Genomic DNA, 26859 nt, shown 5'->3' with positions numbered 1-26859 from the left:
CTCTATTAGTTCTTTTGAGAGCTGAGTGCTAAGAAGAGTCCCAGTAACAACATCTCCTTCCTGTCTCACCATGTGATCTCTGCATGGGCCAGCTCCCCTTCTTCTTCCATGGGGGTAAGCAGCTTGAGGTCCTCACCAGATGCCAAGTCTTCAACTTTTCTAGACATCAGAATCAACCAAATAAACATTTTTTTCTTTGTAAATTGCACAGTCTCAGGTATTCCTTTATAGCAACACTAAATAGACTATGACATGCAGAAACATTTGTATAATTATCTTTAGGTGATACAGGTATATTTTTAGATATATGTCTTGAGTCTTAGAGATATGCACAAGGCAACATGTAGAAACATGTTCACTGAAATATTTTTTAACTATACCAGCAGTTAAAAGGAATGAACTAGATTGGGAGATACCAACATAGAAACATAAAAAAGAAAATATTAAGTAAAAAAGGAAAATTCAAATGTATGTACATTTATAAATGTATCATTTATGAAAATTTTTAGTACTACATGAAACAGTTACATGTATTCTTTATGGATCCATATGTAAACCTTATAACTTTTTAGAGTAATTTGTATCTACTAACATTAAAAATGCACAAGCTAGGTTGGGTGCGGTGGCTAACGCCTGTAATCCCAGCACTTTGGGAGGCCGAGGCAGGTGGATCACCTGAGGTCAGGAGTTCAAGAACGGCCTGGCCAACATGGTGTAACCCCGTCTCTACTAAAAATACAAAAAAATTAGCCAGGTGTGGTGGCAGGCACCTGTAATTCCAACTACTTAGGAGGCTGAGGCAGGAGAATTGCTTGAACCCAAGAGATGGAGGTTGCAGTGAGCTGAGGTAAAAGAGTGAAACTCTGTCAAAAAAAAAAAAAAAAAAAAAAAGCACAAGCCTGTTTACACAAATATCCCACCAGTAGGAATTTATCTCATAAATATAATTGCAATAGTACATTGATGTATGTATGTGTGTGTGTATATATATATATATATATATATATATATATATATAAAATTTTATATTTTTTTGAGACGGTGTTTCACTGTCACCCAGGCTGGAGTGCAGTGGCGTGATCTCAGCTCACTGCAACCTCCGCCTCCCGGGTTCAAGTGATTCTCCTGCCTCAGCCTCTGGAGTAGCTGGGATTACAGACACCCACCACCACTCCCGGCTAATTTCTGTATTTTTAGTAGAGACGGGATTTCACCATGTTGGCCAGGCTGGTCTAAAACTCCTGACCTCAAGTGATCTGCCCACCTTGGCCTCCCAAAGTGCTGGGATTACAGGTGTGAGCCACTGAGCCCAGCCTTTTGATATATATTTATATAAGCAAATATGTTGCGGGATTGTTAGAAATAGCAGCAAACTGTATAAACAACTGAAATAATGAAGAAACTGGCAAAGACAAATCTATATAAAAGTTACTGTGTACCAGTTTTAAATATTGAGGCATATTTGTATATGCTAATGGGGAAAGACCTTCAAGATATATTACACAGAAAAGAGCAAGATATAGAATAGTATGTATGGTATGATCTCATTTGTGTTAATTTATACATGTAAATGTAAACACGTGCTGGGAAGATATAAACTAAAATGATAGTTATTGTCTATGGAAGGGATGGTGGGGAAGTAGAATTTAGGTTTATTGATCTAAGACAGTTTTAGCTTTTGTGCTTCTTTTCCCCCAACAAATTTATTTATTTTTAATTATCTATTTTTTTTTTTTTTTTGAGGTGGGGTCTCACTCTGTTGCCCAGGCTGGAGTGCGGTGGTGCGATCTCGGCTCACTGCCACCTCCACCTCCTGGGTTCAAGCAATTCTCCTGCCTCAGCCTCCCAAGTAACTGAGATTACAGGCGTGTGCCACCACATCCAGCTAATTTTTGTATTTTTAGTAGAGACAGGGTTTTACCATGTTGGCCAGGCTGGTCTCAAACTCCTGACCTCAGGTGACGCGTCTGCCTCAGCCTCCCAAAGTGCTAGGGTTATAGGGGGAACCACTGCGCCCAGCCCTTTTGTGTGTTTTCTTTTCCTTTTTTTCTTTTTCTTTTCTTTTTTTTTTTTTTTTTGAGATAGAGTCTTGCTCTGTTAGCCAGGCTGGAATACAGTGGTGCGATCTTAGCTCACTTCAACCTCCGCCATCTGGGTTCAAGTGATTCTCGTGTCAGCCTACCGAGTAGCTGGGATTACAGGCACCTACCACCACACCCGGCTAATTTTTGTATTTTTAGTAAAGACAGGGTTTTGCCCTATTGGCCAGGCTGGTCTGGAACTCCTGACCTCAAGTGATGTGCCTACCTCAGCCTCCCAAAGTGCTGGGATTACAGGCATGAGCCATGTTTTATTTATTTTCTTAAAAAACTCAATGTTAATATAATTTAATTTTAGGGGTTGCCAGAATCTAGTGTTTGTTATAACGTAATATGAAATCTCCATATTTTTGGTTTTCTCAAAGGCTAACTTTGTGCTCAGAAGATTTGTAGAACATTTCAGAGGCCAGGCATGGCTCATGCCTGTAATCTCAGTACTTTGAGGGGCCAAGGTAGAAGGATCACTTGAGCCCAGGAGTTGAAGATCATCTTGGGCAACCGGATTAGTCTGTTCTCACGCTGCTGATAAAGACATACCTGAGACTGGGCAATTTATAAAGGAAAGAGGTTTAATTGACTCACAGTTCAGCATAGCTGGGGAGGCCTTAGGAAAGTTACAATCATGGCGGAAGGGGAAGCAAACACGCGAGTCTTCACATGACGGCAACAAGAAGAAGTGCCAAGCAAAAGGGAGAAAAGTTCCTTATAAAACGATCAGATCTCGTGAGAACTCACTCACTATCACGAGAACAGCATGAGGGTAACTACCCCCATGATTCAGTTACCTCCCACCAGCTCCCTCCCACAACACATAGGGATTATGGGAACTGAAGTTCAAGATGAGATTTGGTTGGGGACACAGCCAAACCATATCAGCAACATGGCGAGGCCCCATCTCTACAGAAAATAAAAAAATTGCCTGGGTGTGGTGGCTCACACCTGTGGTCCCAAACTACTTGGGAGGCTGAGGCAGGAGGACTGCTTGAGCCCAGGAGGTTGAGGCTGCAGTGAGCTGTGATCACCCCACTGCACTCCGCACTGGGCAACAGAGTGAAACGCTGTCTCAAGAAGAAAAATAAAAGAACATTTCAGAAATTTCCAGAAGGCTTACATCTATATTTAGTATGGCTGGCATTTTGAAAACCAGTAAATTGAGAAACTGAAGATGTAACTTAACTTACAAAGTAGGTGTGCCTTTTTGTCTCAAAGTTTCCATCAAAATCAGTTTCTTTTCTCTGATACTTTCAATCCTTGAGAACAGAGAATGTCTGCATATTTACTGGCTTAAAATTTCATACCCTAACATCATTAGCATATCAAGATGTTTTAGTGTACTCATCTTTATCACCAGATGTTGAGTTGATTGGTATTCCCTAATTTTTCTTCAGATAATCAAATGAATGTTTCTGTCATCAATTTCCCAAAATATATCTCCATACCAAGTTACATGTTCTTTCTATAGTTTTATGTTTTTAATGAACCATGTAGTTAAAATCATTCTGTTTTAATACTCGTACTTGCATGGCTATAAAATTTCTACTCTTGATGTTTTTATATGTAATTATTTCTAGGATCTGAAGAAGATGATGAAGTTGTGGCAATGATTAAGGAATTGTTAGATACTAGAATACGGTACGTGCTCCTCTCTCTACCTGAATTCAAGTGCTTTGGAGGCATTTTTCATTATAGCAATATAGTTTTAGTTGGCCATGAGATTATAGTAGATTTTCAAAATAAGTGCAAGTTAATGTAAACCACAACAGGTAGCCGTGACAATTGAATTTAAAGCCTGTATCTTCTCTACATTTACTCAAAATTTTAAAACATCCAATTTATTTAAACATATTCAATGAAGAAATGTATTCTTCACAGTCTCAATTTAGATTTGATATTGTTATAATACCAAATTTCTTAAAAAGAAAAAAAAAAGACTTAATGTTTGGCAAGGTTGTGAAGAGAGAATGAGTACCTATTTTCAGTATATTGCCCATACAGAATAAATGTTAAGTGAGTGGAGAACAGCAGGCTTCTACTTTTGCTTGTAGCAGACCAATAGTCATGCTGAGAACTCCCAGAAAAGCTGGATAAAGTACAATAAAAAGAATTTGTTTGAAAGCATTAGATAGCTGCCAGAGCAAGCAAAATGTGAGGTGCCAAGATCCTGGAGAGAAGGGAAGCTCACTGAGTTTTCCCTTCAGGCATTTGCTGTTCCTTGCTACATAGCTAGGGTAGAAGAAGCTGGGCAGAGGGCAGCTGCCAAGAATCAGAGAAACCACTGGGCTTTCAGAAAATTTGTTTAGATGGGAAGACAAAAATTAAAATTCTGGGTTACCAATGAAATCTTGATTTCAAGGACCAAGATCCTAGAGAGCAGGGAAGTTAAGAAAAGTAAGCCTATAGTTTTTGGTTTTTTTTTAAGACGGAGTCTTGCTCTGTCACCCAGGCTGGCATGCAATCTCAGCTCACTACAGCCTCGCCTCCCGGGTTCAAGCGGTTCTCCAGATTCAGCCTCCTGAGTAGCTGGGATTACAGGCACAGGCCACCACACCCAGCTAATTTTTGTATTTTTGGAAGAGACAGGGTTTCACCATGTTGGCCAGGCTGGTCTTGAACTCCTGACCTTGTGATCCGCCCACCTCAACTTCTCAAAGTGCTGGGATTACAGACATGAGCCACTGCGCCCAGCCAAGTAAGCCTATAGTTAGTAACAATGTATTGTATTCTTGAAAATTGTGGCTGGGTGTGGTGGCTCACGCTTGTAATCCCAGCTGTTTGGGAGGCGGAGGTAGGTGGATCACCTAAGATCAGGAGTTCAAGACCAGCCTGGCCAACATGTTGAAACCCCATCTCTACTAAGAATACAAAAATTAGCCAGGCGTGGTGGTGGGCATCTGTAATCCCAGCTACTAGGGAGACCGAGGTAGGAGAATCACTTGAACCCTGGAGGCGGAGGTTGCAGTCAGCCAAGATTATGCCATTGCACTCCAGCCTGGGCGACGAGCAAAACTCTTTCTCAAAAAAAAAAAAAAAAAAAAAAATTTGCTAAGATAGTAGTTATTAAGTGTTCTTGACACAAAAAATAAGTATGCGAGGTAATGTATATGTTAGTATATGTTAATTAGCTTGATTTAGCCATTCCATGGTGTATACAGATATTTTTTTTTTGAGACAGAGTCTTGCTCTGTCACCCAGGCTGGAGTGCTGCACGATATCAGCTCACTGCAACCTCTGCCTCCCAGGTTCAAGTGATTCTCCTGCCTCAGCCTCCTGAGTAGCTGGGATTACAGGCATGTACCACCACACCCAGCTAATTTTTGTAGTTTTAGTAGAGACAGGGTTTCACCGTGTTGGCCAGGTTGGTCACGACCTCCTGACCTCAGGTGATCTACCCTCCTCGGCCTCCCAAAGTGCCGGGATTACAGGCGTGGGTCACCGCTCCCGGCCTACATATTTCAAAACATCATGTTGTACATGGAAATATCTATAATTTTTGTGAATTAAGAATAATTAATTGGAGGCCGGGTGCGGTGCCTCACGCCTGTAATCCCAGCACTTTGGGAGGCCGAGGTGGGTGGATCATGAGGTCAGGAGATTGAGACCATCCTGGCTAACACAGTGAAACCCTGTCTCTATTAAAAATACAAAAAATTAGCCGGGCATGGTGGCGGGGGCCTGTAGTCCCAGCTACTCGGGAGGCTGAGGCAGGAGAATGGCGTGAACCTGGGAGGCGGAGCTTGCAGTGACCCAAGATTGCACCACTGCACTCCAGCCTGGGCGACAGAGTGAGACTCTATCTCAAAAAAAAAAAAAGTAACCCTGGAACTAAAATTATAATAACTGAACTTAAGAACTCATTAGATTGGACATAGTTGAAGAGAAGATTAGTATACTGGAATTTAAGTCAGTAGAAAATATTCAGCCTGAAGCACAGGGAGAGAAGAGAATAGAAGATATGGGAAAGAAGCATGAGATGGTGGGCACGGTGCTCACACCTATAATTCCAGCACTTTGGGAGGCTGAGGTAGGAGGATTGCTTGAGCTCAGAAGTTAGAGACCACCCTGGCAACATAGTGAGACCTTGTCTCTACAAAAAATTAAAAAATTAGCTGGGTGTGGTGGTGTGCACCTGTAGTCTCAGCTGTTCCTGAGGCGGGAAGATTGCTTGAGCCCGGGAGATTGAGGCTGCAGTGGGCTGTGATCACACCATTGCACTCTGGTCAAGGAGATAGAACAAGACCCTGTCTCACCAGAAAAAAAAAAATGAATCAAACCTCCGGAGGGGAGAAATAGAATAAAAAATAATTCATCAATCTGAAACAATGCAAAATAGGAAACAGTAAATGGTAATATAAACTCAAAAGTGTTGGCATTTAAATGACAGTAGTTTGATGAACAAAAATAAGATTGTCAAATTGGATGTGAAAAAACAAAAAAACAAAATCAACTATAGACTGCTTAGAAGAGATATAGGGGCCAGGCATGGCGGCTAATGCCTGTAATCCTAGCATTTTGGGAGGCCAAGGTGGCAGATTGCTTGAGCCCAGGAGTTTGAGACCAGCCTGGGCAACATAGTGAGACCCCGTCTCTACAATGAAAGAAAGAGAGAAAGAGAAAGAAAGAGAGAGGGAGGGAGGAAGGAAGTGAAGGAAGGAAGGAGGGAGGGAGGGGAAAAGAAAAGAGAAGAGAAAAGGAAAGAAATAGAATATTTGTATGACCTTCGGGTAGGCAATTTTTTTTTTTTTCCCCAACGGGACACAAGAAATCAGATAAAGACCGGGCGCGGTGGCTTACACCTGTAATCCCAGCACTTTGAGAGGCCGAGGTGAATGGATCATCTGAGGTTGGGAGTTCGAGACCACCCTGACCAACATGGAGAAACCTTGTGTCTACTAAAAAAATAAAAAATTAGCCACGCATGGTGGCGGGCACCTGTAATCCCAGCTACTCGGGAGGCTGAGGCAGGAGAATCCCTTGAACCCGGGAGGCGGAGGTTACAGTGAGCCGAGATCGAGCCATTGCACTCCAGCCTGGGCAACAAGAGCGAAACTCCGTCTTAAAAAATAAATATATGTATATATATATCAGATAAAAATCAAGGAAAATACATATAAATTGGACTACAGTAAAATTGTGACTGTCTCTTCATCAGAAGATGCCATTGGCTGGGCACAGTGGCTTGTGCCTGTAATTCCAGCTACTTAAAAGGCTGAGGCAGGGGAGGCTCCCTTGAGCTTAGGAGTTTTAGGTAGCAGTGAGTGAGCTGTGATCATGCCACTGTATTCCAGCCTATGTGACAAAGCGAGACTGTTGAAAAGTGCCATTTACAGTCAAAAGGCAGGGTACAGATTAGAAGATATTTACAGTGTTTATATGACAATACATAAATAACTTGTACAAATTGGTAAGAAAAAGACAATCAGACACTGGAGCAGGTACTTCGCAAAAGATGATCAAATAGTGGCTGGGCGCAGTGGCTGACACCCATAATCCCGGCACTTTGGGAGGCTGAGGTGAGCGGATCACCTGAGGTCAGGAGTTCAAGATCAGCTTGGCCAACATGGTGAAACATGGTCTCTACTAAAAATACAAAAAATTAGCTGGGGGTATTGGTGCATGCCTGTGATCCCAGCTATCTGGGAGTCTGAGGCAGGAGAATCACCTGTACCCGGGAGGCGGAAGTTGCAGTGAGCTGAGATCGTGCCATTGCACTCCAGCCTGGGCAACAGAGTGAGACTCTGTCTCCAAAAAAAAAAAAGGAAAAAAGATAATCAAGTAGCCACTAAACATGAAAAAATGCTTAACCTCATTAGTTATTGTGAATATTCAAACCATAATTAAATATTTGTACAAATCCAGTAGAATAGTTAAAACTATTAAGACTGACAACACCAATTGTTGGTGAGGATGTGGAGCAACAGAAACTCTCATACACTGCTGGTGGGAATGTAAGTTTATATAACTGGAAAACTATATGGCAGTATTTATTAAATCTCAACATATTCATACTCTTTATTCAGCAATTTCACTTTCAGGTATATTCCCAGTAGTAATATATATGCATACCAAAAGACATTTCTAAGAATCTTTATAACTGCACTATTTGTAAAAGCCAAAACCTAATGTTAACCTAAATGTCTATCAACAGTAGAATGGATAAATAAATTCTGGTATATTTGCTTAATGGAATACTATGCAGCAGTGAGAGTAAATGACCTAGTACTATACTCAGCAACATAGGTGAATCTCACAAAGAGCATAGGAAGCCAGATACAAAAGAGTAATTCTACGTGATTTATAAATAGAATTTATATTTGTAAATTATAAAGTTCAGAGACTGGCAAAACTCATCAGTGGTGATATGAATTAGGATAATGGCAGCATTTTTGTTGTGGGGAGTGATTGGAAGGAAGCCCAAAGGGGACTTCTGGAGGTTTGGTGTTGTTTCTTGGTTTGGGTGGTTATAAATGTGTGTTCACTTTGTGAAAACTTAGTGAACTGTGCATACATGATTTAAGCATTTTTCTGTATTAATGTTGTATTTCAATGAAAAGTTTACCTGAAAATGAAGCCAGCATGTGACAGTCTCCCTTTTCCTTCACTCAAAAGAAGTGACTGAGTATATTTTAGGTAATCACAATAATTATTAGGAAATTTGAAATCTTAAGTGCTGTAAAATATTGTTTTATTTAAAAAAAATTTCTTTAGAGACAGGGTCTCGCTGTGTCACCCAAGCTGGAGTGCACTGGTGTGATAATAGCTCACTGCAGCTTCCAACTCCTGGGCTCAAGCAGTCCTCCTACCTTGGCCTCTCAAATTGCTGGGAATATAGGTGTGAGCCACCATGCCCAGCCTTAAAAAGATATTAGCAAGCAAGATCAAATGCGGTAAGCGGAGGAAATATTTGTATGAGTGAATTTTGGTATTTTACCTGAGAGTAAAAAAAAAAAATTTAATTCTAAATAAAACTTAGCCACAGTTATTATTCTGTATTATAAAAGTAGCTCTAACTTTGTGAATTTTACTAATATAAAATTTAAGCTCTGAGCTGTATTAAATTTTTTCAATGAAAACTTGTATTTTAAAGAATATGTCATAAATATTCTTTGACCTCACAGGCCAACTGTGCAGGAAGATGGAGGGGATGTAATCTACAAAGGCTTTGAAGATGGCATTGTACAGCTGAAACTCCAGGGTTCTTGTACCAGCTGCCCTAGTTCAATCATTACTCTGAAAAATGGAATTCAGAACATGCTGCAGTTTTATATTCCGGAGGTAGAAGGCGTAGAACAGGTATGCCAATATTATATGACAGTCTAGATTTTTTTCATTTTTTCTTTTTCTTTGTAGATACAAAGGCTGGAAATAGATGTTAAGGCAAGTATTTGAAAAGAAGTTCATGACCTAGCTTTTTCTTCAAGGGCTGGATTTTTGTGTTGCAATTTTTATCAGACTTGAAGTCTCTTATTTTAGAAGTAACTTTGGGCTGGGCGCAGTGGCTCAAACCTATAATCCCAGCACTTTGGGAGGCTGAGGTGGGTGGATCACCTGAGGTTGGGAGTTCCAGACCAGCCTGACCAACATGGAGAAAACCCCGTCTCTACTAAAAATACAAAATTAGCTGGGCATGGTGGCAGACGCCTGTAATCCCAGCTACTTGGGAGGCTGAGGCAGGAGAATTGCTTGAACCTGGGAGGCGGAGGTTGCGGTGAGCCGAGATCGCGCCATTGCACTCCAGCCTGGGCAACAAAAGCGAAACTCCGTCAAAAAAAAAAAAAAATGAAGTAACTTTAGTGTTATGAGAACCTACTATGTGCCAGGCATTTTTGCTCATTTCATCTTCTAATGACACAGTGCATTAAGTCATTCCCATTTTGCACATAAGGCTACAGAGACTCAGAGGGCATATTGCTGCCCTGATTGCACAAAAATTATGAAAAAGGTTTAAAATGTAACACAGTGTTTTATAGATGAGATTTAGAAATCTTTAGTGGAAGAACTCTACTACATCATATTTACCAATTTTTTTTTTTTTTTTTTTGTAGAGACGGGGTCTTGCTATGTTGCCCAAGTTGGTCTTGAATTCCTGGCCTCAGGTGATCCTCCCAAAATGCTGGGATTAAGGATTAACACAACTGGCCTAATCTATGTATTCTTAAATATGCAAGCAAGAAGCCCATTAAGAAATCATAGTTTGTTGTTATACTGAGTAGAATTCTAGAGCTTTACGTGTAGCACAATATCAACATTTTTTTTTTTGCCAACATACCTAAGGAGTATAACACAGCACCTTGTCATCAGTAATAATGAGTCTCACTGCAGTGATTCTCAACCAAAAAGCATGGCCTTATGGAGAGAGATTATCAAGGAGTGAAGGGATGTGTGGAAATTAGAAATTTCCAACCCACAGAATTTCAGGTAATTCATTCTTTTTTTTTTTTTTTTTGGAGACAGAATCTTGTTCTGTTGCCCAGGCTGGAGTGCAGTGACACGCTATCTCGGCTCACTGCAACCTCCACCTCCCAGGTTGAAGCAGTTCCCATCCCTCAGCCTCATGAGTAGCTGGGATTACAGGCACATGCCACCATTTTTTGTATTTTGTATTTTAGTAGAGACGGGGTTTCATCATGTTGCCCAGGCTGATTTCAAACTCCTGAGCTCAGGCAATTTGCCCGCCTCGGCCTCCCAGAGTGCTAGGATTACAGGCATGAGCCACCGTGCCTGACCACCTCAGGTAATTCTGTGCCCTTAAGGGCTCCATTGGGAATCACTCATCCTTGGGTAGTATTAAAATTCATCTGTTCCACAGTGAGCAGGTCTATATAGACCTATCCCCAAAGTCTTAGGGAGCTGAGAGGCTGAAGACAGAGGCTGGCAAATCCAGTTGGTCAGAAAGAAACATTTAATAGGGACTGAGGAACAGAAGCCATTTATCGGGCAGCTGCAAGATGATGGATTCCTGCATTGTTACCCGCTAGACTCAGGGCTTATATACCAGGAGGAATGGGTATACATGCTTCAGAAGATATGTGTAGGACAATTGAAGTCAGCCCCTCTGGAAAAGGCAAGAATGCTATTTGCCTAATAGCCTATAATTTGCTTAAGGGCAAGATTTATGCTAAGTATGTGTTTGTTTAGGATAACATCAAGATTATTTTGACCTAAAGGCAGAATTAAGTAGAAAACTTAGAGGCATTCCTAGAACTGAGGGTAGTCAATGTGGCAGATTAGCATCCAAGATGGAGTTGCTTTAGCCTCCACACCATCGTTTTGGTCCAGTACATGACATCTTCTCTTTGAAGTTTTTATCCATCCCCCACTTGGAATTAAGTTCTTCTTTGACAGGTCCAAAGCTTCTGTTTTTGCTTTATGTTTATGTAGCTTTCTGTATCTGTTTTAGCTTTATGTTTACGTGGAAGCTCCCTAAGAGACTTGAAATCATATCCAAGTCTTTGTGTTCCTCTGCAACAACTAGCTGTGTGCCTTACAAATGTCCTATACATGCTTTGTATTAAGTATTTGGGAATATTATTCCAAATTAAGGAATAATTCTGCCTAAAATATGAGTTGGTTGACAAAATTTTTTGGATTGGGTATTGTTGAAATTGGATGTAAAATATTAATTTCTTGGGAATAAATACCAATTTTTACTCAACCAAAAAGACAGCCTATGAAAGAATTCTTTTTCTATTGATTGTCTCAGATCAGAGCCAGAATCTGGATTTTTTTTTTTTTTTTTTTTGAGACGTAGTTTCACTCTTGTTGCCCAGGCTGGAGTACAATGGCTTGATCTTGGCTCACTGCAGCCTCCACCTCCCGAGTTCAAATGATTCTCCTGCCTTAGCTTCCCAGGTAGCTGGGATTACAGGCGCGCGCCACCACGCCTGGCTAATTTTTATATTTTTAGTAGAGATGGGGGTTTCGCCATGTTGACCGGGCTGGTCTTGAACTCTTGACCTCAGGTGATCCACCTGCCTCAGCCTCCCAAAGTGCTGGGATTACAGGCATGAGCCACTGTGCCTGGCCTAGATTTTTTTTAAAAAAAAAAACCTTACTTTGTTCCATTATCATCTATATGCCTTAAAAAATTATGTTAGTTGATACTTTGGTGGATTGACTGAGGAACATTTTTATTCAATTGTCCAGGGTAGGGTGATGAATTGGCCTTCAGATTAGAAACTTGAATTGGCATCTAATTGTAGTAGGTGTGGTGAGGAGAAAAAAACATTCTTAGGTTTATGTAACTTTTTCCTTCTCCAATGGAGTTAGTCTGTTATCTTAGTAATACATTAACTCATGGAAAGATAATAGCTGTTGTAACATTTTCCTGAGGCTTAAAATGATCTTTTATCTCAGTAAGACTAAAATAATTAGTTCCTAATATGGTGGGGTTTTTTTGTTTTGTTTTGTTTTTCACTTTCCTTGGGGATTCATTTTAATAAAAATAAATGTTTTTAAAATAACAATTTGGTATAGCTTCACAGAATATATTTAAGTAAATAAGATGGTTTTGAAAAAAAGAAAAAGTCATTTACATTAGTCTTATGGCTAGAGAATACCAGTTAAATTGTTTTTTTTTTTTTGAGACGGAGTCTTGCTCTATCACCAAGCTGGAGTGCTCTATCACCAGGCACTAGGCTCACTGCAACCTCCACCTCCCCAGTTCATGCCATTCTCCTGCCTTAGTCTCCCGGGTACCTGGGACTACAGGCGCCCACCACCACGACCGGCTAATTTTTTGTATTTTTAGTAGAGACGGGGTTTCACTGTGTTAGCCAGGATGGTCTTGATCTTCTGCCCTCATGATCTGCCTGCCTCAGCCTCCCAAAGTGCTGGGATTACAGGCGTGAGCCACCGCGCCTGGCCCCAGTTAATTATTTATAGTCTTTTCTGCCCAGCTGAGACTCTGCTATGGGTAGCCTCTTTGAGACAAGGAGAAGTGATCAATGCTTTAATTAATTTCCAAATATTTAATTTGCTTTTATTTTATTTTATTTTTTTTTTGAGACAGAGTCTCGCTGTGTTGCCCACGCTGGAGTGCAGTGGCGCGATCTCGGCTCACTGCAAGCTCTGCTTCCCAGGTTCACGCCATCCTCCTGCCTCAGCCTCCCGAGTAGCTGGGACTACAGGCGCCCGCCTGGCTAATTTTTTGTATTTTCAGTAGAGATGGGGTTGCTTTTATGTTTTTAGGATACCGGGTTATGATTCAAACCTTGTTCTTTGGGGCTGTTGATAGATTTATTCTTACTGGCTTGTCATGCCTCATTATAGAGTGTATCAGGTAAAGAAGTAATATTAAAATCAGGAAAACAGCAAAATCTAATCATTTTCTTAATTCTTAAATTGTCTTTGTTTTTTGGTTTTAGGTTATGGATGATGAATCAGATGAAAAAGAAGCAAACTCACCTTAAAATAATCTGGATTTTCTTTGGGCATAACAGTCAGACTTGTTGATAATATATATCAAGTTTTTATTATTAATATGCTGAGGAACTTGAAGATTAATAAAATATGCTCTTCAGAGAATGATATATAAATATTGCATGTTTGCTTTACCTCATATGAGTTATTTATAACCTCTTGAATCATCTTCTGTACACGTGGATTTTATCCAAGGATATTTTTATTTTTGTCCCTCATTTCCCATGGCTCTTTCTTTGCATATGTGTGAAGGAGTTTAAAATACATTTCCCCCCATCTAATTTATTTACTTTTTTCCATACAGGAAGAAACAGAATGCTTTTTAGAATATTCTAAAATAGCTTTTTGTGAAATATCTAAAACTATTTTTACTGAAGTTTTTAGCTTAAGAAACAGCTAAACAAGTCTGTTTTAAAAATGGTATCTGGCTACTAGCCCCCAATTAAGTAGCAAAGAACTGCTTAAGACCAAAAAAAAGAAATCAAAAATGTCCGGGTATGGTGGCTAACGCCTATAATCCCAGCACTTTGGGAGGCCGAGGTGGGCAGATCACGAGGTCAGGAGTTTGAGACCAGCCTGAACAACATGGTGAAACCCCGTCTCCACTAAAAATACAAAAATTAGCCGGGCGCGGAGGCACGCGCCTGTAATCCCAGCTACTTAGGAGGCTGAGGCAGGAGAACTGCTTGAACCCGGGAGGCGGAGGTGGCAGTGAGCTGAGATCACGCCACTGCACTCCAGCCTGGGGGACGGAGCGAGACTCCATCTCAAAAAAAAAAAAAAAAAAAAAAAAAAAAAAGGTGAAAAACTTGAAAACTAACTCCCAGAATCTGGACACAGTTTCTATTGGTTAAGATGGAGATGGCCAAATTAGAAAAACTGCCTCAGCATGCCCAGCCTTTACCTTATCAATCAGAATTGCTGAAGAAAAGAGAAGAAGCTGCTTTGGTCCTCCCACTGGCTTCTGACTCAGAGATCCAAAATCTGTACCATGCCAGAAGTGTGCATCATTATTTTTGTACTCTAGGGGTACTGCTTTTTCAGGTAGCCAAAAGAGTGATTTAGCCTCCTCTCTCATTTTTCTACAGTAATTCAGAGACTGCAGTTAACAGAAAATACAGGGAAAGGAAAGATGGGAAAAATAGTTGTGATGCATTGCATCTCTGGAATTCTAGTCCCTCAAATTAAGGAGATTAAGATAGTGATGGAAACAGGAAGAACTCTAGCAGTTGTGAGTGCTGGGAATTGAAGTTTTTACTTTTATCCTTTGGTTCACTGAACCAAATAGTAGGGTTGGAGAATTCATTCCTTGAGATATCATGTATGAATTTAATTTAGACACTGGGAATTGCTTCATAAGCAAGGCAACTTAACCTGCCCTTTAGTTGAAGCTACAGGAAATTGACATCGTGGATGAGATGCCAGTAATGGCAGATCTTGTATGTGGCCATGAAATAAGTGGCTGAATTGGATGGAGGATTAGTTTATTAGAAGAGAGGAAATTGGCCTGGCGCAGTGGCTCATGCCTGTAATCCCAACACTTTGGGAGGCTGAGGTGGGTGGATCACTTGAGGTAAGGAATTCGAGACCAGCCTGGCCAATGGTGAAACCTTGTCTCTACTAAAAATACAACAATTAGCCAGGCAAGGTGGCATGTGCCTGTAATCCCAGCTACTCAGGAGGATGAGGCACGAAAATCCCTTGAACCTGGGAGGCGGAGGTTGCAGTGAGCTGGGATCGTGCCATTGCACTCCAACCTGGGTGACAGAGCGAGAGTCTGTCTCAAACAAACAAACAAAAAAACAGGAAATTATTCAATTGAGAGGCCAAAGAGGAAGAGAGGAAAGATTTTCTACAAAAGCAACAGCCATGAAGAACAAGGAGGAAAGGTGTGGGAAGAACATTCTAGGCATAAGAACAGTATAATCAGAATTGTAAGTGTGAAATGTATTTGGGAACCTCAAGAAACTAAGTATGGCTTGAGTATAAAGTGAAAATGGTGCATGAGTAGGCAGTGGTAGTATAGAGAGTGCCACAGAAACTCTTGGTTGCCTACCCAACATACACCCTCACTTCTTGTTAAGGAAGGCACTCTCAGTAGGTCTCACCTCAGTCCCAGGGGATAGTTATGATTAAACCAGTCACTTTAACTCCATTTTTCTTTTCCAGTCATTAGTCTGTGGGTAGCCATATGACCTAGCTCTGGCCAGTAAACTGGAAGAGAAAGTCTATTGGAGAATTCTGGAAAGATTGTCTTTCCTAGTTAAGAGAGTGTGTATGTGAGTTAATCTCTGGAAAGAAGGCTCTTTTTTTTTTCCTCCATCCATTCCTTTTCTTCCTGCTTGGTACACTGTAGAGTGTGATGTTCAAAGCAATGACAGTCAACTTGTAATCATGACTAAAAGGTGGTCCACTGAGAATAGCAAAGAGCAAAGAAAGGGTCTGGATCCTTGGCCTTGCACGGTGGCTCACACCTGTAATCCCACCACTTTGGGACACCCAGGCGGGTAGATCACTTGAGGCCAAGGGTTTGAGACCAGTGTGGCCACCATGGTGAAACCCCATCTCTACTTAAAAACACAAAAATTAGCCTGGTGCAGTGGCACATGCCACCTAGTAGTCCCAGCTACTAGGGAGTCTGAGGCTTGAGAATCACTTGAGCCTGGAAGGTGGAGGTTGCAGTGAGCCGAGATCACATCACTGCACTCCACCATGGGCGACAGCAAGACTCTGTCTCAGGAAAAAAAAAAAAAGGGTCTGGATCCTTGAGGCATTGTTGGCCTTTTGGCCAGACTAAGAATTACTCACTTTCAGAGTTTATATGATGTGAGATAAATGTTTTTCTTGTTTTAGCTATTGTTATCAGGTATTCTGTAACTTGAAGCTGATTGCATTCTGAGAGACTGGTAAATGATGGAGGACTTGGTAAATACTTTTACCGATTTTTCATTTGTGGTAAACTGCCAAATGTCAACCTTAAAATGAAAACAGGCCGGCCGCGGTGGCTCACACCTGTAATTCCAGCACTTTGGGAGGCTGAGGCGGGTGGATCACCTGAGGTCAGGAGTTCGAGACCAGTCTGGCCAACATGGTAAAACCCTGTCTCTACTAAAAAAATACAAAAATTAGCTGGGCATGGTGGTGGGCGCCTGTAATCCCAGATACTCGGGAGGCAGAGGCAGGAGAACCGCTGGAACCCAGGAGGCAGAGGTGGCAGTGAGCCGAGATCACGCAACTGCACTCCAGCCTCGGTGACAGAGCAAGACGCCATGTCAAACAACAAAAACAACAACAACAAATTAACATGTATTTTTTAATTAATTGAACCACTATTCAAAGGTTAAGTTTAATCAGGTAATGGTTTTTATTCTGGAATATTTATACTGAATTTCTCCCTATCTAATCCCAAAGAAAGACTAATAATCACTATTAGTTGTGTTTAGCCAGAACAAAAATTAAACAAAAACCAAAAATACAAGAAACCCCCAAAATGTATAAAATATTTTGTATCTATTTTATTTTTTTCTTTTTAAAATAGAGATGGGGTCTTACTCTGTTGCCCAGGCTGGAGTTGCAGTGGTGCAATCATAGCTCAGTGCAGCCTCAAACTCCTGGGCTCAAGCCATCTTCCTGCCTCAGCCTCCCAAGTAGCTAGGACTACAGGCATGCACAACCATGTCCAGCTTTTATAAAATATTTTACATGAAATATCCTGAAAACACTTTGTAAATATGGGATGCTTCAGTAAGTATTTGAAACTAAGATTATTGGTCAAGAGTAAGCCAGGCACTTGGAGGGTTTTTCTTTTTGAGACAGGGTGTCACTCTACTGCCCAGGCTGGAGTGCAGTGGCGTGATTATGGGTCACTGCAGCCTTGACTTCCCAGACTCAAGTGATTCCCCACCTCCACCTCTCAAGTAGTTGGGACTATAGGTGCGCACTACCACACCCAGCTAATTTTCGTTTTTTTTTTTTTTTTTTTTTTTTTTTTTTTGTAGAGACGGGATTTTACCATGTTGCTCAGGTGGATCTGCAACTCGTGGGCTTAAGTGATCCACCTGCCTCAGCATCCCAAAGTGCTGAGATTACAGGCGTGAGCCACCACGCCTGGCCTGAGGATTTTTCACTAACCAAAATTAGGATGAAGCCCTATGCAGGATGACATACAGTCACATGAGAGCAACATATATAAAAATAGCAAACGTTCATTGAACATTCAGTGTTCATTTATTCATTGAACATCCTTCATCCTCAAGCCTGAGGTTTTCACAAAGACTGTTCTAAGCACCTTATATTTATGAAGTCATTTAATCCTACGTGATAGTTAACTATTGTCCCTCCTCCGCCCCCCCCACCGCCCCTGCCTTTTTATTTTGAGACGAAGTCTTGCTCTGTCGTCCAGGCTGGAGTGCAGTGGCACCATCTCAGCTCACTGCAACCTCCTCCTCCCAAGTTCAAGCAATTCTTCTGGAATTACAGGCATGCGCCACCACACCTGACTATTTTTGTATTTTTGGTAGAGACAGGGTTTCACCATATTGGCCAGGCTGGTCCCTGACCTCAAGTGATCCACCCGCCTTGGCCTCCCAAAGTGCTGGGATTACAGGCTTGAGCCACTGTGCCCGGCCTATTGTCCCCATTTTTATAAACTGGAAGATGGAGGCACAAGGAAAAGTACATTGTCCATTGCCATGCAACTTGAGTGGAAAAGCTAGGAACATGAACTCTGGCATTCTGGCTGCAGGGCCTATGCACATTATAGCTATACTATTCTGCCTTAAGGAAGTTGGGCTCATACCCCTCTTGAGTATTCCTACTTGAGGGAGGAGAGAAGCTTTCCTTGCTTTCATAGCTACTTACGAGTGGGCAAGAGTCTAGAACCACAGTAGACAAAAGCAGTGGTATGTACATGTGTGTCCATTTTTTTATGCAGGAATATGAAACTAGTTGCTTTCCAGTCCAGAGGGAATCTACACCCCTCTTGGGAAATCCCAGCCATATACTCCATTTTGCCATATCAGTGTTATCTGTGATTATTCCCTAGGAGCTTACAAGATACACAGAAGCAACTTTTCAAGTATCCCTTGAAAGAAACCCTAGAAAAATAGTACTTTTTCTGTGTCCTTACGTTTCAAGTGATCTTTCAGTTCTAGGCAGCTCCCTGAATGGTCCACCCCTTATTGTGGCTCTGTTCACATCCAACAGGACAGAAATAGTAGGTTAAAGGTAGGACCAGTTTATCTCATGGTTTTCAATTTGTTGACTTTCTTGGCAGTAGAAAGAGTTTCTTTCTCGCAGAGCTAGAAAACTCTGCCCCAGCTTCTGCCTACTGGAAAAATTTGGAGCCACGTTGGAGAGGAGTATTGGGGAGGGCATAGCTTCTAGTTGGAGTTAGCATCCTTTGTCCTCAAGCCTCAGGTTTTCTGGGGGGCAATCAGGTCATATTTGCTTGATGCGGTGGACATATTTTTTTGTGTGCCTTCTTGGTGTTCTTCTTTTAGCAACACCTTCCCCTTTCCTTTGAAGAACTGCTTCCTCTTGCCGTATGTGGCTATATGACTCTATAGGGCTTTGGTGGAGCTGTCCTATCACAATGTCTTGCCTTCTTTGCCACAGGAGTGGGGCATGTGACTCACGCTGGACTGGCCAGAATCCTTGTCTAGAATATAAAAAGTAAGGATGGAGGAATAGCCTCTCTCATTTTGGGCTGCAAGCTATAAAGTTGTGATTACAGAGCTATTTGAGGATTATTTCCCTGTCCATGAGGTCAGAGAGGTAGTTCAAGAGTTCTGACAACATTCTGTCCCTGGGTATAAATGTGCTGAAAGCTGTTTGTATTCCTGTTCTTTCCAATTACGTGAGCTAGTAAATCCCCTTCTTTAGTTTGAGTGGTCTTCTATTTATTATTTGTCAGTGAAAGCTCTGCCCTCTAGGCACATCTTTCACCATGACTGTGAGAAATAAATTTGTGAGAGCTGCATCCTTGAAGAGCTCTGTGAAAGCTCTTTCTGTGGGAGTGCTGCCACTGAATTGGGAAATCTAGTACTCATCCTGTGGGTGAAGAGTAACCACGATATTGGAAGCAAGGAAAAACTGGATCACATTTGTATTTTTGACAGGTCCCTCTGGAGCCAAAGTGTGTGGGATGAACTGCGGGAGGCTAAAGGGGTTCACTCAAAGGGTCTTTCTGAGGCCTTGATTGGTGCCTTTTGTTCTTGTCCTCATTTCTTTTCACAGGCCTCAGGGGCTCAACCTATTTCTTTTTCCTTTGATACTTGCTACCATCTTCTCTGTCCACTGGGGTACATTTCTCCACAAAGCTCCCTAAAAAGTAGGACATATGTACCCCAGCTCCCCATATTCTTATGCAAAGGAATTTTTATTTTAATAATTTTATTGCTATTACTGGAATTCACATAAGGGTTAATAAAAATGACTACAGCTATTTCAATTAAGGTTCTTCGTTGCGTTAGTAATGGCAACTGGAAGCTCTGATGGCCTTCAGCCATCAGATCCAATGGGACTGAATCTACGAACAGGGAAATGGACTTACATAAAGAGATGGTGAATGACACCCCCTTGCCATCATTACTTTTTTTGTTGTCGTTCAGAATGTTTTGATCAGGAGAGAAAATCCATTCCCTCATTTGTTTGAATTAGACCCAGATGTCCCCTTCCCTTCATAGATCATTTATTTTCTTCTCCTTCAGGCCTTATTCCCAAAGGTCCAGTTAAGGCGGAGCTCTGTATAAAGGGAGGTCAGGCACCCAAAGTGTGTATCTTAACTGGCGCATGGTTACAAAGAGTTCTTTGTTGTGTTGGGTTAGTGAGGTTCTTCAAGGCTGATTTGGGAAAATACTGTCCTTCAAAGTTTCTTCTCTTTTTTGTCAAATTATTTTTTTATTTACTTTTTTTTTAACTTTTTTTTTTTTTTCTGAGTTGGGGACTTTCCAGTCTTTACTGAAAACTTTTAAAAATTTGTATTTAGACAAATTCTAAAAGACCTGTAACACTAGTTTCTTCTTCTCAACTGATTCATAAATATCTTCCAAAATAGTTTGTTGAGTGGAGATGGATAAGACAAATTGATAGTCATTGTGGTGGAGTAGCAGGCAGAAGAAGAAAGCAAAGGGTTAAATAGATTACTATAGTTGGAGCATGAGAACTCTGGTAGTACTGCTGACATTTTCTTTGTGGCATTGACAGGTTTGCTGCCAGTGCACAAAGATGTTGCTTAAGCATTGGAACCATACCTTGGCTTTTAGGTAATACAACGGAGTTCTAACCAGAGCCTTAGATGAGGGTTCTGAGGCTAGATGTATATCCACAGTCTTTTGTTTCTTGAATTAAGAAATGTATTATTACCAAAAAGCTCACTGTTTTTTTTTTTTTTAAACTTTGCTCTGGGTGATCCAGGGACCTGTTTAAGGGATTGAAATATCAAAAGGGCTTTTAGGTGAGAAATACTCTGCTTAGTTAAATGTGACATTTTTCAGCTTCTCTGAGGCAAGTGAAAAAAGGCACTTTTCCCCGTAAGAAGAACTGAAAGCCTTATGCTCACTTAATCATATAACCAGCCATAGAAGGTTAATTCCGCTAAGAAAATAGGACTTTTTTTCACTCATTCCAAAATAAATTTGATCTTTTACTTTGTGCTGTGGTCTAAAAGTGTTGGGTATGTAAAATCTAGTTCTAGCTTCAAGAAACTTACAGCCCAGTGGGAAAATACAGAAAATCATAAAATATCAAAGAATATTTCTTTACAGTGAGTAGCTCAAAGAGTAAGAGGTTAATGCATGTCTCCAAGTCTGTCTAGGGGGGATAAAAAAGGCTTTCCTGAAGAGGTAGCATCTAAACAGAGACGTGGTGGGGATTCTATGCAGAGTAACCAAAGTGTGCAAAAGATTTGAGAATCTTGGCCCAGTTGAGGAACTACCTGTTGAGCCTGTTGGGAGTGTATAGGGCTGGAAGGACGGCTAAGACCAGACACATGAACAGCAGTCAGCAGGCTAAGACCAGACACATGAACAGCAGTCAGCACTCCAGGAATTCTGTGTGCCATGTACGTTTTTGATACTACTCTACTCTAGAGCCATTATAGAGTTCTGATTACTCCACATTTGACTAAAGATACCATTTAAGGCTGTTTAAAGCAAATGCCCAGGTAATAAATTCTCAGAAACATCATCCCTCTCTAATCAAGTCTCTCTTGTCAGACATGGCGCATTAATTCATAGAATGAATCGTTCGTAAGTCAAACGCGCGGCTGTTAAAGCTAGGGAATTCCTAGCCGTCTCAGGTGGGTCATGGGAGGAGGTGGGCCAGCAGTTTCTTACGTCCAGGCTCATAGTCGGATAGTTGAGCCTTACATTCCTCCTCTACCCCTCCACAATAAACTGAGGGTTATGGAGGCAACGGATGCGGAGGGCTTTTAGGGGCCAAGCATATTACACAAGGAATTGAATTGCTTATTACCAGAGAGGCTGACCTTTGGGGCTTTACAGTCAAGAATTTTGTTATCTCTCTCCTCCCACCTCAACCTAATTCTTTGCAATTTTTTTCAGCCTTATGTTCCCCAGGATTCCCTTTTCATACTTCCTGCTTTTTTCCTCCTCTTTCCTCGCTTCGTGCAGTGCTGGCGCCTGGGGCCTGGGGCTGCACGGGGCACGCACCCGGGCTATTGCTTTGCTAACAATTCCATCCTTCTCTTTCCGTCATTCCCTGCCAGGTGCTGAGTTTCTCCCTCCCTCTCGGCTCGGTCCCTCCCGCGGCTCGCCCCGGGGCGGGCGTCTCCAGGAACTCCAGGCGGACGCGGCCACGAGCCACTGCCACGTCGCCGCCGCCAGCAGTCCAGCGCCTGCGTGGGCTCGGGGGGCGGGGCAGCGCTGGGAGGCGGGACTTGCGCGTGAGCGGCGCGTGAGCGGTTCAATGGAGCCTACGGGCGGCGGCGCGCTGCGCGCCGAGGGGCGGGGCCCGGCGGCGGTTGCTGGCGGAGCCCGGGAGGCGGAGAAGGCTGTCGTTGCCTTGGCCGTCGCATCCCCGAGGGAGTCGTGTCGGCGCCACCCCGGCCCCCGAGCCCGCAGATTGCCCACCGAAGCTCGTGTGTGCACCCCCGATCCCGCCAGCCACTCGCCCCTGGCCTCGCGGGCCGTGTCTCCGGCATCATGTGTGGTAAGGGGGCCGGGAGCGGGGGGCGTGTTGCCGGGTGGCGCTGGGGTGCGGTGCGGGTGCCGCTAAGGCCCAAGGCGACGGGCGGAAGCGGGAGTGTGGAGGGTGCGAAGTCTGGGTGATGGGCAAGGGGCGCCCAGTGGTGGCTGCGGGGGCGGGGGCCGGCATCCACGGGCGGGAGAGGGGGTGGCGGCCGGGAGAAAGGCACCTGAGAGGAAGGCGGGCCCCCTTTGCCGGGGGCTAGCGGGCGCCTTGGCGCGGAGAAGGAACCGAAAGGGGAGAGAAACGCCTTTATTGAAAAAGGAGGAGAGAGCTGAGGGAATTGAGGTGTGGAGGGGGTTGCCTTCAAAAGGGCCCACCAGGTGAGTGAGGAAACCTGTGGAACCTCGGGCGAGGTCTCTTGAACTTACCTTGCATTTTTCTAAAAATCTTTAAAAAAATATTTTACTTGTTTCTGGGGAGGCCCAATAGAAAACAGACCCTAGCTAGAGCCACGGTAGTGCCATTAAACGTGATACTTCCTGCCATCCCTTGTCTCAACAGAAACCATTGCTAATCAATAACTTGGTTCATGGGCTTAGACCTGATCCTCTGGTGGAAGAGGCCTTCAAATGTCTGTGGCGATAGGTTATACATAATTTATCATTTGCGTGTGCACCCATTAAAAATGCCAGCTCTGAAAAATATCAGTTATACCTTGGATGTATACCCCTTTAGAATACCAACTATGAAAAATATCATTTATCCCTTGCATGTGCATCCATTAAAAATACTAGCTATGGAAAGTTGAGCAAATATCTTTCCTAGAGCCTTAAAAAATTAAGGTTAGGCCCTTTTATTCCATGTTTTGAGAGTCGTTTATTATGACCTAAGTGTTAGTGAAAGAGACTTTGAGAATCGTGTCTGACATGACTGATATCTTCTAAAATTGGTGTTAATTTGGCTATTGCCAGTAAAAATAATTGTATTCTTACCTTTCTTATTGAAATTTACAACCGACTTTATCCCTGGAAGAAAGTACACTTTTTTTTTTTTTTTTTAAAGGGAAGTACCATTGTAAGAGAATTGAAAACTCTCTGGGAGACTTCTTATTTGCAGCCTTTTACACGAAGGAACTGAACAGGAGGTGGATTGTACTCGTTAGTGTATATATTTCCTGTATTTAACTTTATGCTCATTTCAGCTTCTGAAAATGAGGAGCAGGTTTAAATTTAGAGTAGATTAAAAAAAAACCCACATAAAAACAGAAACACCTATAAATAGCTTACTGAAATTATTAGAGTAGAGCTGACTTCAGAATCAGACTTTTGCAGTGTCTACTTAGTAGAATGGTTTTGCATTTAGTTTGGAGCTGTGAAGTAGTGAATTTGCAAACTGGTCAATCTCCAGTGTGCTTCATTTGGTAGTTAACTGTTCCTGAATGATGAGGGGTGTGCCTCATCAAGTACTCAACATTCTGGTTGCAGGTCATTTCATCATGTTCCAAGAAAAAAACGTAGTCAAAGTACTTACTGAAAAAAAAATAAATAAATAAATAAATCAGCGCTGGGCGTGGTGGCTCCCGCCTATAATCTCAGCACTTTGGGAGGCCGAGGCAGGTGGATCACCTGAGCTCAGGAGTTCAAGACTAGCCTGGCCAACGTGGTGAAACTCCATGTCTACTAAAAATACAAAATTAGCTGGGCGTGGTGGTACGCGCCTGTAATCCCAGCTACTCGGGAGGCTGAGGCAGGAGAATTGCTTGAACCCAGGAGGTGGAGGTTGCAGTGAGCCGGGATCGCGCCATTGTAATCCAGCCTGGGTAAAAAAGAGCAAAACTCCATCTCAAAAATGATAAATAAATATAAATAAATAAATCAGATATGGAAATCAGGTTCAGATAAGGGAGATACCTTTAGGGTGGAGACTAAATGTTGGGAGTTTTCACATAGTTTGTGTCTCCATTCCATAGAGTTTTACGGCTGAGGAAACAGGTATTGAAGAAATAAAAAGTGAATATTTGAGGCATTTCTGAGGTCCTGCTTTTAAGTCATACCACGGTTTTGCCTGATTCTAGGGATAGGGTTCAGAATTTATTTTCTCTCTAATGTAAATTCTGAAAGATAAGAAGATGAGTGTCATTATTTTCCTCCCACATCTTAGTCATTGAACTAAAATTCCTGAGCAGAGAAATGGAGTGAAAATTAGACTAGATGGGAAAATCTGGAAGCTTACTTTCTGATTACTTGCTATCTAGTTAAGTTTTTCTCTTTCTTTCCTTCTTTCTTTTCTTTTCTTTCTTTCTTTCTTTTTCTTTCTTTCTTCTTTCTCTCTCTTTCTTTCTTTCTCTTCTTTCTTTTCTTTCTTTCTTTTTTCTTTTTTTTTTTTTTTTTTTGTGACGGGGCCTCTCTCTGTCGCCCAGGCTGGAGTGCAGCGGCATGATCTTGGCTCACTGCAGCCTCTGTCTCCGGGGTTCAACCTCCCGAGTAGCTGGGATTACAGGGGTGTACCACCACACCTGGCTAATTTTTGCATTTTTGGTAGAGGTGGGGTTTCACCATGTTGACCAGACTGGTCTGCTGACCTCAGGTAATCCACCTACCACAGCCTCCCAAAGTGCTGGGATTACAGGAGTGAGCCACCTTACCCGGCCCTAGTTAAATTTGCCTAAAAGATTATTTTATTTCAACGTTGTGCATTGTTGAAGCAGAAGAATGAGGATTGAAGATTCTGATGTGCTTTTTTTCAATCAGATATACTGATAAAATTGATATGTTTACCAGCTTGTATTGGGATGTTAATAAGTGTTAGGAAAAAAGATCCTCTGGTCCAGTAAATTTGGGAAGCAACATATTAAATCGCGTGGTAATGTTTTGTTTTGTTTTTTGATTGGAGGATTTCTTGGAATCTTTAATGTATTAATAATAAGCATTGAGAATCTCCCAGAGAAGAATAGTGTGTCTATTTTCCAAATTTATTTTATCTTCCTTTTTCTTGGTAGTTTGGAATATACTTTGTCCTTTTTATTTGCATTATTTTTGGTTTTGCTGAGTGTCAAGTCACTTAAGCTATCCCTAGCTTTTAACAGATTTTGCTATTGTTTTTATAAATGTGAAGTTATACCCTTCTGATTCGACGGTGTATATAAAATGGAATTTTGGGGATGGGCGCGGTGGCTCACGCCTGCAATCCCAGCACTTTGGGAGGCTGAGGTGGGTGGATCACCTGAGGTCAGGAGTTTGAGACCAGCCTGACCAACATGGTGAAACCCTGTCTCTACTAAAAATCCAAAAAAATTAGCCGGGCGTAGTGGCGCATGCCTGTAATCCTAGTTACTCGGAAGCCCGAGGCAGGAGAATCTCTTGAACCCAGGAGGTGGAGGTTGCAGTGAGCTGAGATAGTGCCATTCTACTCCAGCCTGGGCGACAAGAGTGAGAGACTGTCTCAAAATAAATAAATAAATAAGTAAATAAATAAATAAATAAATGGAATGTTTGCAAATGAGATCCTTTTTAAAAGCAGTAAAGGAACTTGCAATTTTAAAGTATCCTAAAATGAATTTTTCAAAAGTTTTTTGTAATTATACTGTCTAATGGCTTTGGAGATAATTGAGGGATGCTGAGATTGGCTGCTAGGATTGGTCATAAAACCAGTACTATTAACATATCCTTACATATACTGGATATGAAGAAGTTGTGAGAGAAAATAATTGCTTAATAAGCATTTCTTCAATTGTCCCCTGGAAATGGAGGTTAATAGGTTCTGGTAATGAGCAGTAGAAGGCGGGAAAGGGTTTTGTAACACAAGTTTGGGAAATTCTGCTCTTGGAGATTCACAATTAGCAAGATTAAAGGTTCCAGAAAGTTCTAAATATATACCTAACTTTAACCAGGTAGTTCTTAAACCTTTAATTATGAAACCTTTCTTTACTTCATTCCTTTTTAGCATCCGGTGAAATAGTGTTCTGTTTCTGTGGTTTGAGAATTTTTTGACCGTATATTTCAGGTGCCTAGAAAGTGTTAGAAGATACTTGCAGGTATTTGAAATGATGGCTTTATACTTGGCACTCTGCCCTTTGCAGAGATGACTAAAATAAGAGAGTTGCCTTCAAGAAATTGCTGCCTGATCAGAGGAAAGAAAATGAATGCACATGCAACAGCTTCAGGTGAAAATACACAGTCCTTGTTCATTGCCA

The 26859-nt window shown here is 41.8% G+C and overlaps 2 protein-coding genes across 11 annotated transcripts in view, besides 5 other annotated features; both read left to right on the top strand.

Annotated features, from left to right (window-relative positions):
• NFU1 (NFU1 iron-sulfur cluster scaffold) overlaps positions 1 to 14003 on the top strand; it is a 43818-nt gene extending 29815 nt beyond the window's left edge. For 3 of the 7 annotated variants that reach the window (NR_045631.2, XM_047443939.1, NM_015700.4), the window contains 3 exons: positions 3671 to 3731; positions 9215 to 9389; positions 13463 to 14003. Coding sequence is in view for 5 of the 7 variants with exons in the window: in XM_047443939.1 (XP_047299895.1) it covers positions 3671 to 3731; positions 9215 to 9389; positions 13463 to 13507 (281 nt within the window). In the remaining 2 variants the exon portion in view is untranslated. The remainder of the gene's footprint in view (positions 1 to 3670; positions 3732 to 9214; positions 9390 to 13462) is intronic. The other 4 variants (NM_001374284.1, NM_001002755.4, NM_001002756.2 and 1 more) reach the window with 3 other exon arrangements.
• Positions 17427 to 17927: an enhancer, noted in NCBI's record as "H3K4me1 hESC enhancer chr2:69618958-69619458 (GRCh37/hg19 assembly coordinates)". NCBI's record gives its function as "activates a minimal SCP1, AML or CMV promoter by ChIP-STARR-seq in naive H9 embryonic stem cells {active_cell/tissue: H9 hESC(naive)}" and the evidence as "EXISTENCE:reporter gene assay evidence [ECO:0000049][PMID:30033119]".
• Positions 22107 to 22216: a silencer, noted in NCBI's record as "silent region_11596". NCBI's record gives its function as "represses an Ori minimal core promoter by ATAC-STARR-seq in GM12878 lymphoblastoid cells {active_cell/tissue: GM12878}" and the evidence as "EXISTENCE:reporter gene assay evidence [ECO:0000049][PMID:35858748]".
• Positions 22107 to 22946: a biological region, named in NCBI's record as "H3K27ac hESC enhancer GRCh37_chr2:69614151-69614710".
• Positions 22175 to 22734: an enhancer, noted in NCBI's record as "H3K27ac hESC enhancer chr2:69614151-69614710 (GRCh37/hg19 assembly coordinates)". NCBI's record gives its function as "activates a minimal SCP1, AML or CMV promoter by ChIP-STARR-seq in naive H9 embryonic stem cells {active_cell/tissue: H9 hESC(naive)}" and the evidence as "EXISTENCE:reporter gene assay evidence [ECO:0000049][PMID:30033119]".
• Positions 22277 to 22946: a silencer, noted in NCBI's record as "silent region_11595". NCBI's record gives its function as "represses an Ori minimal core promoter by ATAC-STARR-seq in GM12878 lymphoblastoid cells {active_cell/tissue: GM12878}" and the evidence as "EXISTENCE:reporter gene assay evidence [ECO:0000049][PMID:35858748]".
• GFPT1 (glutamine--fructose-6-phosphate transaminase 1) overlaps positions 22526 to 26859 on the top strand; it is a 67448-nt gene continuing 63114 nt past the window's right edge. For 2 of the 4 annotated variants that reach the window (NM_002056.4, NM_001244710.2), the window contains exon 1: positions 22526 to 22688. In NM_002056.4, the coding sequence (NP_002047.2) occupies positions 22682 to 22688 (7 nt within the window). In that variant the 5' untranslated portion in view covers positions 22526 to 22681. Of the gene's footprint in view, positions 22689 to 26669; positions 26830 to 26859 lie in introns of those variants that run through there. The other 2 variants (XM_017003801.2, XM_017003802.3) reach the window with 2 other exon arrangements.

The sequence above is a fragment of the Homo sapiens genome, chromosome 2 (assembly GCF_000001405.40).
Source record: "Homo sapiens chromosome 2, GRCh38.p14 Primary Assembly".
In the NCBI taxonomy this organism is placed as follows: domain Eukaryota; kingdom Metazoa; phylum Chordata; class Mammalia; order Primates; family Hominidae; genus Homo; species Homo sapiens.
The sequence above is the reverse complement of the archived record's forward strand: the minus strand, read 5'-3'. Positions and strand labels throughout refer to the sequence as shown.